Source organism: Homo sapiens, chromosome 18 (genome assembly GCF_000001405.40).
Source record: "Homo sapiens chromosome 18, GRCh38.p14 Primary Assembly".
NCBI lineage: Eukaryota > Metazoa > Chordata > Mammalia > Primates > Hominidae > Homo > Homo sapiens.
The window spans coordinates 73,016,880-73,029,700 of record NC_000018.10 but is presented as its reverse complement, the minus strand read 5'-3'; positions in this window follow the sequence as shown (position 1 = coordinate 73,029,700).

The following is a 12,821-nucleotide window of genomic DNA, read 5'->3' as shown; positions in this document are numbered from 1 at the left end:
CTGTCTGAAATTAATATAGTGACTCCTGCTTTCTTTTGTTTATTGTTATCGGTTAGCATGGTATACCTTTTTTTCATCCATTTATTTTTAATCTATTTGTGCTCATATATTTAAAGTGGTTTTCTATAGACAACATATAATTGGATTTGGTTTTTTGATCCACTCTGATGACCTCACTCTCTCTTTTTTTTTTTTTTTTTTGAGAGGGAGTTTCCCTTTTGCTGCCCAGGCTGGAGTGCAATGGCGCGATGTCGGCTCACTGCAACCTCCACCTCCCCGGTTCCAGCGATTCTCCTGCCTCAGCCTCCCGAGTTGCTGGGATTACAGGCATGCCCCACCATGCCTGGCCGATAGTCTCTATCTTTTAATTGGTATATTTAGAACATTGACATTTGGAGTGGTTATTGATATATTTGGATTAATATCTACCACATTTGTTACTGCTTTTTGTTGCTCTTGTTCTTTGTACTTATCTTCATCTTCTACATTCTGCCTTTTGTGTCTCTAATGAACATTTTTTGATTCAATGTTTTCCCTTTCTCAGCATATGAATGGTACTTCCTTTTTCCCCTTTTTTCAGTAGTTGTCCTAGAATTTGTAATATACATGTAAATCTATCACAGTCTTCTTTCGAATAGCAATGTACATCTTCACAGGAATAAAAGTATCTTGTGATTTAAAATATTCCTAATACCTTTTTCCCATTTCTTGTATTAGTGCTGTCAATTATTTTATTGATACACATGCTTACATAAACATCTATTTATATTCAAATACTATATATTTATAAGTATACAGAAGTGAATACATTTTTGCTACTATTATTTTGAACAAACTGTTACATGTTAGATCAATTAAGTATAAGAAAAATAAAAGTCTTTGTTTACCTTCGCTTATTCTTTTGTCAGTGTTCTTTCTTTCTGTAGATCTGTGTTTATAATCTATACAGTTTTTCTTCTGTTTTGAGACCTTTTTTTACATTTCTTGCAAAGCAGGTCTACCGACAAGAAATTTTGTCAATTATTGTTTTTCTGGGAATGTCTATTTCTCTTTCACTCTTGAAGGATAATTTCACAGTGTACAAAGTATGGTTTGTTTATTTTTGTCTCTGAATACTTTAAGACTTTCACTCTACTCTCTTCTTTTTGCATAGTGGCTACTTAGTTGTATGAAATTTTTATCTTTGCTCCTTTAAAGACAGTGTTCTCTCTACGACATGTCTTTTTCCAATTTTTTTAATCACTGATATTTGTAGAATAAAAATGATATAACTAGATAGTTTTTGTTTTTGTTTTGTTTTGTTATTGTATTTAGTGTCTAACCTTAATTTAGAGAAATTCTCAATTGTTATTTTTTCAAATATGTCTTCTGTTCATTTTTCTTCTCCTACTATGCCCATTATACATGCATTATACCACTTGTAGTTGTTCCACAGTTCTTGGGTATTCTGTCCTGTTTTATCCAGTCTTTCTTTTTTACTTTACTTTTTTGGAAATTTCTATTGTCATATCTTCATGCTGAGAGATTTTTTTCCTTAGCTGTGAGTAGTCAGCTAATGAGGCAATGAAACACATTTTTCATTTATGTTATTCTGCTTTTGCTTTCTAAGATTTTTAAGCTTTTATTTTAGAATATTCATCTTTTTGCTTACATTATCCATCTTCTTTTTATGTTGTCTACTTTTCCCATTAAAGCCCATGGCATATTAACCACAACTTTTTAAAATTTCACTTCTGATTAGACCAACATTCCTACCATATCTGACATTAGTTCTGGTGCTTTTGCAGACTCTTCTAATTTTATTTGTTTCCTTTTAGTTTGGATTTTATTATTTTTTATTGAAAGTTGGACTTAATGCACCATTTGAAAGGACTTGGGGTAAAAAGGACTTTAGTGGTGTGCTCGTAAGGGGTATGGATGGGAAGTTTTGTATTAGTCTATTTTCACACTGCTGTAAAGAACTACCTGAGACCGGGTCATTTATAAAGAAAAGAGGTTTATTTGGCTCACATTTCCTCATGGTTGGGAAGGCCTCAGAAACTTACAGTCATGGCAGTAGGCAAAGCGGAAGCAGGAGGTGGAGGTGGTAAGTGCCATATTCTAAACCATCAAATCTTGTGAGAACTTACTCACTATCACAAGAGCAGCATGGGGAAATCCACCACACAATCCAATCACTTCCCACCAGGTCCCTCCCCTGAAGCATAGCAATTACAATTCGACATGAGATTTGGGTGGGTACACAGAGCCAAACCATATCATTCTGCCCCTTGCCCCTCTCAAATCACATGTCCTTCTTACATTGCAAAATACAATTATACCTTCTCAACAGTACCCCAAAGTTTTAATTCATTCCAGCATTAGACCAAAATTCCAGTCTAAAGTCTCATCTGAGACAGGCAAGTCCCTCCTGCTTAGGAGCCTGTAAAATCAAAAACAAGTTAGTTACTTCCAAGATACAGTGGGGGTACAGGCATTGGATAAATGCACCCATTTTGTATTAGTCCATTCACACACTGCTATGAAGAAATACCCGAAACTGGGTAATTTAGAGAGAAAAGAGGTTTAAATGACTCACAGTTCCACGTTGCTGGGGAGGCCTCAGGAAACTTACAATCATGGCAGAAGGCAAAGAAGAAGCAGACACCTTCTTCATAGGGCAGCAGGATGGAGTGAGTGAAAGCAGGGAAAATGCCAGATGCTTATAAAACCATCAGATCTCATGAGAACTCACTAACAGGAGAATAGCATAGGAGATCCACTCTCATGACCTGATTACTGCCAGCTGGTCCCTCCCTTGACACGTGGGAATTATGGGGATTACACTTCAAGGTGAGATTTGGGTGGGGACACAAAGCCAAACCATATCATTCTGTGCCTGGCCCCTCCCCTCTCATGTCTTCACTTTTCCTAACACAATCATGCCCTTCCAAAGTCCCCTAAAGTCCTTTTTTTGAGATGGAGTTTCACTCTTGTTACTGAGGCTAGAGTGCAGTGATGCGATCTTGGCTCACTGCAACCTCCGCCTTCCAGTTTCAAGTGATTCTCCTGCCTCACCCTCCTGAGTAGCTGGGATTACAGGCACCCACCACTACACCCGGCTAATTTTTGTGTTTTTAGTAGAGATGGAGTTTCACCATGTTGGCCAGGCTGGTCTCAAACTCCTGACCTTGTGATCCACCTGCCTCAGCCTCCCAAAGTGCTGGGATTACAGAAATGAGCCACCGTGCCCGGCCTAAAGTCTTAACTCATTACAGTCTTAACCCAAAAGTTCAACTCCAAAGTCTCATCTGAGACAAAGCAAGTCCCTTTTGCCTATGAGACTGTAAAATCAAAAGCAAAAGTTACTTCCTGGAGACAATGGAGGTATAGTCATTGGGTAAATACACCTATTGCAAATGGGAATAATTGGCCAAAACAAAGGGGTTACAGGCCCCATGCAAGTCTGAAATCCAATGGGGCAGTTATTAAACCTTAAAGTTCCAAAATGATCTCCTTTGACTCCATGTCTCACACTCAGGTCACGCTGATGCAAGAGGTGAGCTCCCATGGCCCTGGGTAACTGTACCCCAATGGTCTTGCAGGATGCAGCTCCATCCTTGGCTGCTTTCTTGGGCTGGTATTGAGTGTCTGTGGTTTTTCCAGGTGCACAGTGAAAACTATTGGTGGAACTACCATTCTGGGGTCTGGAGGACAGTGGCCCTCTTCTCACAGCTCCACTAGGCAGTGCCCCAACTAGGAATTCTGTGTGGGAGCTATGACCCCACATTTTCCTTCCACATTGCCCTAGCAGAGGTTCTCCATGAGGGCTCTGCCCCTGCCTGGGTATCCAGGTGTTTCCATACATCCTCTGAAATCTAGGCAGAGGTTCCCAAACTTCAAGTCTTGCCTTCTCTGCACCCACAGGGCCAATATCACCAGTAAGCCACCAAGGCTTGGATCTTACACCCTCTGAAGCAATGGCCTGAGCTGTGCATTGGCCCCTTTTAGCCATGGCTGAAGCTGAATTACCTGGGATGCAGGGCACCATGTCCTGAGGCTGCACAGAGCAGGGCGCCCCTGGGCCCAGCCCACAAAACAATTTTCCCCTCCTAGGCCTCTGGGCTTGTGATGGGAGAAGCTGCTGTGAAGGACTCTGACGTGCGCTGGATACATTTTCCTCATTGTCTTGGTGATTAACATTCGGCTCCTCATTACTTATGTAAATTTCTGCATTGGGCTTGAATTTCTCCTCAGAAAATGAGTTTTTCTTTTCTGTCCATTGTCAAGCTGCAACTTTTCCAAATTTTTGTGCTCACTTTCCTCTTGAACACTTTACCACTTAGACGTTTCTTCTGCCAGGTACCCTAAATCATCTCTCTAGAGGTCAAAGTTTCACAGATCTTTAGGGCAAGGACAAAATGCCACCAGTCTCTTTGCTAAGGCATAGCAAGAGTGACCTGACTCCAGTTCTCAACAAGTTCCTCAGCCTATAGTTTACTGTCCATATCACCATCAGCATTTTGGTCAAAACCATTCAACAAGTCTCTAGGAAGCTCCAAACTTTCCCACATCTTCATGTCTTCTTCTGAGCCCTCCAAACTGTTCCAACTTTTGCCTGTTACCCAGTTCCAAAGTCACTTCTGCATTTTCATGTACATTTATAGTCATGCCCCACTCTCCTGGCACCAATTTTCTGTATTAGTCTGTTTTCACACTGCTATAAACAACTACCTGAGACTGAGTAATTTAAAAAAAAAGGGGGGGTGGGGGGATTTAATTGAATCACAGTTCTGCATGGCTGGGAAGGCCTCAGGAAACTTACAATCACGGCAGCAGGCAAAGGGGAAGCAAGGCACATCTTACATGGTGGCAAGAGAGAGAAAGAGAGAGAGAGAGAGAGAGAAACTGCCACATCTTTAAACTATCAGCTCTTGTGAGAATTCACTCACTATCATGATAAAAGCATGAAGAAATCTTCCCCCATGATCCAATTACCTCCCACTAGGTCTCACCCCTGACATGTGGGGATGACAATTTGACATGAGATGTGAGTGTGGACACAGAGCCAAACTGCATCAGAAGTGTTCTGTGGTTTTGTGATTAGGTGTCAGCTTTTTGGTGAGCTTGTGCCCCTGGACTGTGTGCTTCACCGGTGCTTCTCAGTCTTTGCCTTCTTAGGAAGGACAGGGTGAACTAAAGGAGCTGGCCTGGTTATTTCTCTTCCTCCAGGTCAGGTAGCCTCTGATGAAAAAACCCCAGCAGGATAGGCTCTGGTTACCTAGTTTTTCCTGAGGCAGACCTTGTAAAGAAGAGCAGAATGCTATGCTGTATCTCAGAACGGTTCCTTTTTCCCTTCTGCTTCAGAATTCATGAGGGGATTTTTCTTCCATAATTGCTCTGTCTCCCTGAGAAAGCTCCTAGAGGTAAAGCTCACAAAAGTGTAGGGACTTCCTTATGCTCGAGTCTCCCTGGCAATGTTCACTCTCAGCCTTGTCCATTCTGAGCCTCTCATAATTTGTTAATTGCAGGTTAGGCTTCCCTCTTCTGGCAGTGGTTCCTGTGCAGGTTTCTGCTTACAGGTTTTCTGCTCTGGTAGGTTGTGATTCTCTGTATGCACCTATCTGTCTCTCCAAGTTTTGGGACCGTGGCTTTTCCTGTGAGCTCACCTCTTTGACGGATTTAAGAAGAGTTATTGATTTTTCTGTTAGGTTTTTAGTCGTTAGGTTACAGTGGTGTGAACCCTGATAATCTGAGACTGGTCTCAGTTAATTTTGAAAGTTTATTTTGCCAAGGTTGAAGATGGGTGCCTGTGACACAGCCCCAGGGAGTCCTGACGATATGTGCCCAAGGGATTCAGAGCACAGTTTGTTTTCACACATTCTAGGGAGACATGAGACGTCAATCAACATATGCACAATGAACTTTGGTTTAGTCTGGAAAGGTGGGACAACTGGAAGCAAAAGAGGGAAGACTCGAAGCAGAGAGGGGACTTCCAGGTCATAGGTAGATAAGAGGCAAATGGTTATATTCTTTTGAGTTTCTGATGAGCCTCTTCAAATAAGGCGATCAGATATGCATTTATCTCATTGAGTAGAGGGGTGACTTTGAATAGAATGGGGGGCAGGTTGGCCCTAAGCAGTTCCCAGCTTGACTTTTCCCTTTAGCCTAGTGATTTGAGAGTCGCAAGATGTATTTTCCTTCCACATTGGCAACTTCTAAGCTCTGCATGAGAAACCTATTTATATATTTTTAATTAACATAAAAGAAAAATAAGTAGCTCACGTGTGTTTGACATCACCAACTGAATATTTTTAGAATAAAATGGTATTTTGGTCACTTCTGAGTAGTTTTATGGTTCACCTTAAGTATTAAAATGTATCAACCGAATGAATATGACAGGTTTTACAGCAAATCCAGGGGATATGTTCCTGGGTTTATATAATTTGTGGCCCATTAAATCAATTAATGAAGTCTGGTCAAACTGCCAGTTGGCAAGTTTTTACAAAGCCTGCCTTATTTGCTCATATCCAACAGGTAAGACATCAGCCATCATGTGAAATATACTGAACAGGAAAATCACAGTTAAGCAGCATCCAGTCCTACAGTCTGATTTGAATCATTTCACTTGCTCAAGACAGAAATATAATTATGAAATAGTTTGCATTTCGTTTTCCCTCTCTCTCCTCTCTGTCACACACACACACACACACAAAACACACTCTATACACAACATATTCCATCTACCTAAAACACTGCAAGCCAAAGATTGTAAATAAAAGGATTTTCTCTTTGAAGAGTAATTGAGCTAATTTCATGCCTAATTGAAATAAAATACATTTCCCAAGTAGGTGTGTTTCCAGTGAGAACACAGATCAGGATAAAACTAAAGAGTAAAATAAGAACTTCTCAGAACATTTGCCCACAAAAAGCTTTGACTATTTTCCATTTATTTATTTATTTATTTTTATTATACTTTAAGTTCTAGGGTACATGTGCACAATGTACAGGTTTGTTACATATGTATACATGTGCCATGTTGGTGTGCTGCACCCATTAAATTGTCATTTACATTAGGTATATCTCCTTCCCCCTCCCCCCACCCCACGACAGGCCCTGGTGTGTGATGTTCCTCACCCTGTGTCCAAGTATTCTCATTGTTCAATTCCCACCTATGAGTGAAAACATGCAGTGTTGGTTTTCTGTCCTTGAGATAGTTTGCTCATAATGATGGTTCCAGCCTCATCCATGTCCCTACAAAGGACAGGAACTCATCCTTTTTTATGGCTGCATAATATTCCATGGTGTATATGTGCCACATTTTCATTTTTATTTTTTTGACGGAGTCTCGCTCAGTTGCCCAGGCTGGAGTGCAGTGGCGCAATCTCAGATCACGGCAAGCTCTGCCTCCCGGGTTCACATCATTCTCCTGCCTCAGCCTCCCCAGTAGCTGGGACTACAGCTGCCCACCACCACACCTGGCTAATTTTTTTTTTTGTATTTTTAGTAGAGATGGGGTTTCACCATGTTAGCCAGGATGGTCTGGATCTCCTAACCTTGTGATCTGCCTCCCTTAACCTCCCAAAGTGCTGGGATTACAGGCATGAGCCACTGTGCCTGGCCCACATTTTATTAATCCAGTCTATCATTGATGGACATTTGGCTTGGTTCCAAGTCTTTGCTATTGTGAGTAGTGCCACAATAAGCATACGTGTGCATGTGTCTTTATAGCAGCATGATTTATAATCCTTTGGGTATATACCAAGCAATGGGATGGCTGGGTCAAAAGGTATTTCTAGTTTTAGATCCTTGAGGTATCGCCACACTGTCTTCCACAATGGTTGAACTAGTTTACAGTCCCACCAACAGCATAAAAGTGTTCCTATTTCTCCACATCCTCTCCAGCACCTGTTGTTTCCTGACTTTTTAATGATTGCCATTCTAACTGGTGTGAGATGATGACCACTTTTTCATGTCTGTTGGCTGCATAAATGTCTTCTTTTGAGAAGTGTCTGTTCATAACCTTTGCCCACTTTTTGATGGGGTTGTTTGATTTTTTTCTTGTAAATTTGTTTAAGTTCTTTGTAGATTCTGGATATTAGCCCTTTGTCAGATGGGTAGATTATAAAAATTTTCTCCCATTCTGTAGGTTGCCTGTTCACTCCGACGGTAGTTTCTTTTCCTGTGCAGATTCCATTTGTCAATTTTGGCTTTTGTTGCCATTGCTTTTTGTGTTTTAGTCATGAAGTCCTTGCCCATGCCTATGTCCTGAATGGTATTGCCTAGGTTTTCTTCTAGGGTTTTTACAGTTTTAGGTCTAACATTTAAGCCTTTAATCCATCTCGAATTAATTTTTGTATAAGGTGTAAGGAAGGGATCCAGTTTCAGCTTTCTACATATGGCTAGCCAGTTTTCCCAGCACCTTTTATTAAATAGGGAATCCTTTCCCCGTTGCTTGTTTTTGTCAGGTTTGTCAAAGATCAGGTGGTTGCAGATGTGTGGTAATATTTCTGAGGGCTCTGTTCTGTTCCATTGGTCTATATTTCTGTTTTGGTACCAGTACCATGCTGTTTTGGTTACTGTAACCTTGTAGTGTAGTTTGAAGTCAGGTAGCGTGATGCCTCCAGCTTTGTTCTTTTGGCTTAGGATTGTCTTGGCAATATGGGCTCTTTTTGGGTTCCATATGAACTTTAAAGTAGTTTTTTCCAATTGTGTGAAGAAAGTCATTGGGAGCTTGATGGGGATGGCATTGAATCTATAAATTACCTTGGGCAGTATGGCCATTTTCACAATATTGATTCTTCCTATCCATGAGCATGGAATGTTCTTCCATTTGTTTGTGTCCTCTTTTATTTCATTGAGCAGAGGTTTGTAGCTCTCCTTGAAGAGGTCCTTCACATCCTTTGTAAGTTGGATTCCTAGGTATTTTATTCTCTTTGAAGCAATTGTGAATGAGTGTTCACTCTTGATTTGGCTCTCTGTTTGTCTATTATTGATGTATACGAATGCTTGTGATTTTTGCACATTGATTTTGTATCCTGAGATTTTGCTGAAGTTGCTTATCAGCTTAAGGAGATTTTGGGCTGAGACGATGGGGTTTTCTAAATATACAATCATGTCATCTGCAAACAGGGTCAATTTGACTTGCTCTTTTCCTAATTGAATATCCTTTATTTCTTTCTCTTGCCAGACTGCCCTGGCCAGAATTTCCAACACTATGTTGAATATGAGTCGTGAGAGAGGGCTTCCCTATCTTGTGCCAGTTTTCAAAGGGAATGCTTCCAGTTTTTGCCCATTTAGTATGATATTGGCTGTGGGTTTGTCATAAATAGCTCTTATTATTTTGAGATACATCCCATCAATACCCAGCTTATTGACAGTTTTTAGCACGAAGGGCTGCTGAATTATGTCAAAAGCCTTTTCTGCATCTATTTAGATAATCATATGGTTCTGTTTATATGATGGATTACGTTTATTGATTTGCATATGTTGAACCAGCCTTGCATCCCAGGGATGAAGCCAACTTGATCGTGGTGGATAAGCTTTTTGATGTGCTGCTGGATTTGGTTTGCCAATATTTTACTGAGGATTTTTGCATCAATGTTCATCAGGGATATTGGTCTAAAATTCTCTTTTGTTGTTGTGCCTTTGCCAGGCTTTGGTATCAGGATGATGCTGGCCTCATAAAAGGAGTTAGGGAGGATTCCCTCTTTTTCTATAGATTGGAATAGTTTCAGAAGGAATGGTACCAGCTCCTCTTTGTACCTCTGGTAGAATTCATCTGTGAATCTGTTGGTCCTGGGCTTTTTTTGGTTGGTAGGCTATTAATTATCACCTCAATTTCAGAGCCTGTTATTGGTCTATTCAGGGATTCAAATTCTGCCTGGTTTAGTCCTGGGAGGGTGTATGTGTCCAGGAATTTATCCATTTCTTCTAGATTTTCTAGTTTATTTGCAGAGGAGTTTATAGTATTCTCTAATGGTAGTTTGTATTTCTGTGGGATTGGTGGTGATATCCTCTTTATCATTTTTTATTGCATCTATTTGATTCTTCTCTCTTTTCTTCTTTATTAGTCTTGCTAGTGATCTATCAGTTTTGTTGATCTTTCCAGAAAACCAGCTCCTGGATTTATTGATTTTTTGAAGGGTTTTTTGTGTCTCTGACTCCTTCAGTTCTGCTCTGATCTTAGTTATTTATTTCCTTCTGCTGGCTTTTTAATGTGTTTGCTCTTGCTTCTCTAGTTCTTTTAATTGTGATGTTAGGGTGTCAATTTTAGATCTTTCCTGCTTACTCTTGTGGGCATTTAGTGCTATAAATTTCCCTCTACACACTGCTTTAAATGTGTCCCAGAGATTTTGGTATGTTGTGTCTTTGTTCTCATTGGTTTCAAAGAACATCTTTGTTTCTGCCTTCATTTCGTTATGTACCCAGTAGTCATTCAGGAGCAGGTTGTTCAGTTTCCCATGTAGTTGAGCGGTTTTGAGTGAGTTTCTTAATCCTGTGTTCTAGTTTGATTGCCCTGTGGTATGAGAGACAGTTTGTTATAATTTCTGTTTTTTACATTTGCTGGGGAGTGCTTTACTTCCAACTATGTGGTCAATTTTGGAATAAGTGCGATGTGGTGCTGAGAAGAGTGTATATTCTGTTGATTTAGAGTGGAGAATTCTGTAGATGTCTATTAGGTCTGCTTGGTGCAGAGCTGAGTTCAATTCCTGGATATCCTTGTTAACTTTCTGTCACGTTGATCTGTCTAACATTGACAATGGGGTGTTAAAGTCTCCCATTATTATTGTGTGGGAGTCTAAGTCTCTTTGTAGGTCTCTAAGGACTTGCTTTATGAATCTGGGTGCTCCTGTATTGGGTGCATATATGTTTAGGACAGTTAGCTCTTTTTGTTGAATTGATCCCTTTACCATTATGTAATGGCCTTCTTTGTCTCTTTTGATCTTTGTTGGTTTAGAGTCTGTTTTATCAGAGACTAGGATTGCCACCCCTGCTTTTTTTTGTTTTCCATTTGCTTGTTAGATCTTCCTCCATCCCTTTATTTTGAGGCTATGTGTCTCTCTGCACACGAGATAGGTCTCCTGAATACAGCACACTGATGGGTCTTGACTCTTTATCCAATTTGCCAGTCTGTGTCTTTTAATTGGAGCATTTAGCCCATTTACATTTAAGGTTAATATTGTTATGTGTGAATTTGATCCTGTCATTATGATGTTAGCTAGTTATTTTGCTCATTAGTTGATGCAGTTTCTTCCTAGCATCGATGGTCTTTACAATTTGGCATGCTTTTGCAGTGGCTGGTACTGGTTGTTCCTTTCCATGTTTAGTGCTTCCTTCAGGAGCTCTTGTAAGGCAGGCTGGGTGGTGACATAATCTCTCAGCATTTGCTTGTCTGTAAGGGATTTTATTTCTCCTTTGCTTTTGAAGCTTAGTTTGGCTGGATATGAAATTCTGTGTTGAAAATTATTTTCTTTAAGAATGTTGAATATTGGCCCCCACTCTCTTTTGGCTTATAGAGTTTCTGCTGAGAAATCCACTGTTAGTCTGATGGACTTCCCTTTGTGGGTAACCTGACCTTTCTCTCTGACTGCCCTTAACATTTTTTCCTTCATTTCTACTTTGGTGAATCTGACAATTATGTGTCTTGGAGTTGCTCTTCTCGAGGAGTATCTTTGTGGCATTCTCTGTATTTCCTGAATTTGAATGTTGGCCTGCCTTGCTAGATTGGGGAAGTTCTCCTGGATAATCTCCTGAAGAGTGTTTTCCAACTTGGTTCCATTCTCCCTGTCACTTTCAGGTACACCAATCAGACGTAGATTTTGTCTTTTCACATAGTCCCATATTTCTTGCAGGCTTTGTTCATTTCTTTTTACTCTTTTTTCTCTAAACTTCTCTTCTCAGTTCATTTCATTCATTTGGTCTTCAATCACTGATACCCTTTCTTCCAGTTGATTGAATCAGCTACTGAAGCTTGTGGATCCATCACATAATTCTCATGCCATGGTTTTCAGCTCCATCAGGTCATTTAAGGTCTTCTCTAAGCTGTTTATTCTAGTTAGCCATTCATCGAATCTTTTTTCAAGGTTTTTAGCTTCTTTGCAATGGGTTCGAACATCCTCCTTCAGCTCAGAGGATTTTGTTATTACCGATCGTCCAGCTTTGTTCTGTTGCTGGCAAGGAGCTGTGTTCCTCTGGAGGAGAAGAGACTCTCTGATTTTTAGAATTTTCAGCTTTTCTGCTCTGGTTTCTCCCCATCTTTGTGGTTTTATCTACCTTTGGTCTTTGATGATGGTGACCTACAGATGGGGTTTTGGTGTGGATGTCCTTTCTGTTTGTTAGTTTTCCTTCTAAGAGTCAGGATCCTCAGCTCCAGGTCTGTTGGAGTTTGCTGGAGGTCCACTCTGGACCCTGTTTGCCTGGGTATCACCAGCGGAGGCTGCAGAACAGCAAATATTGCAGAACGGCAAATTTTGCTTCCTGATCCTTCTTCTGGAAGCTTCATTCTCAGAGGGGCATCCGGCCGTATGAGAAGTCAGTCGGCCCCTTCTCTGAGGTGCCTCCCAGTTAGGCTACTCGGGGGTCAGGGACCCAATTGAGGAGACAGTCTGTCCATTCTCAGATCTCAAACTCCATGCTGGGAGGACCACTACTCTCTTCAAAGCTGTTAGACAGGGACATTTAAGTCTGTGGAAGTTTCTGCTACCTTTTGTTCAGCTATGCCTTGTGTCCAGAGGTGGAGTCTACAGAGGCCTCATTGAGCTGTGGTGGACTCCACCCCCAGTTCAAGCTTCTCAGCCACTTTGTTTACCTACTCAAGCTTCAGCAATGGCAGATGCCCC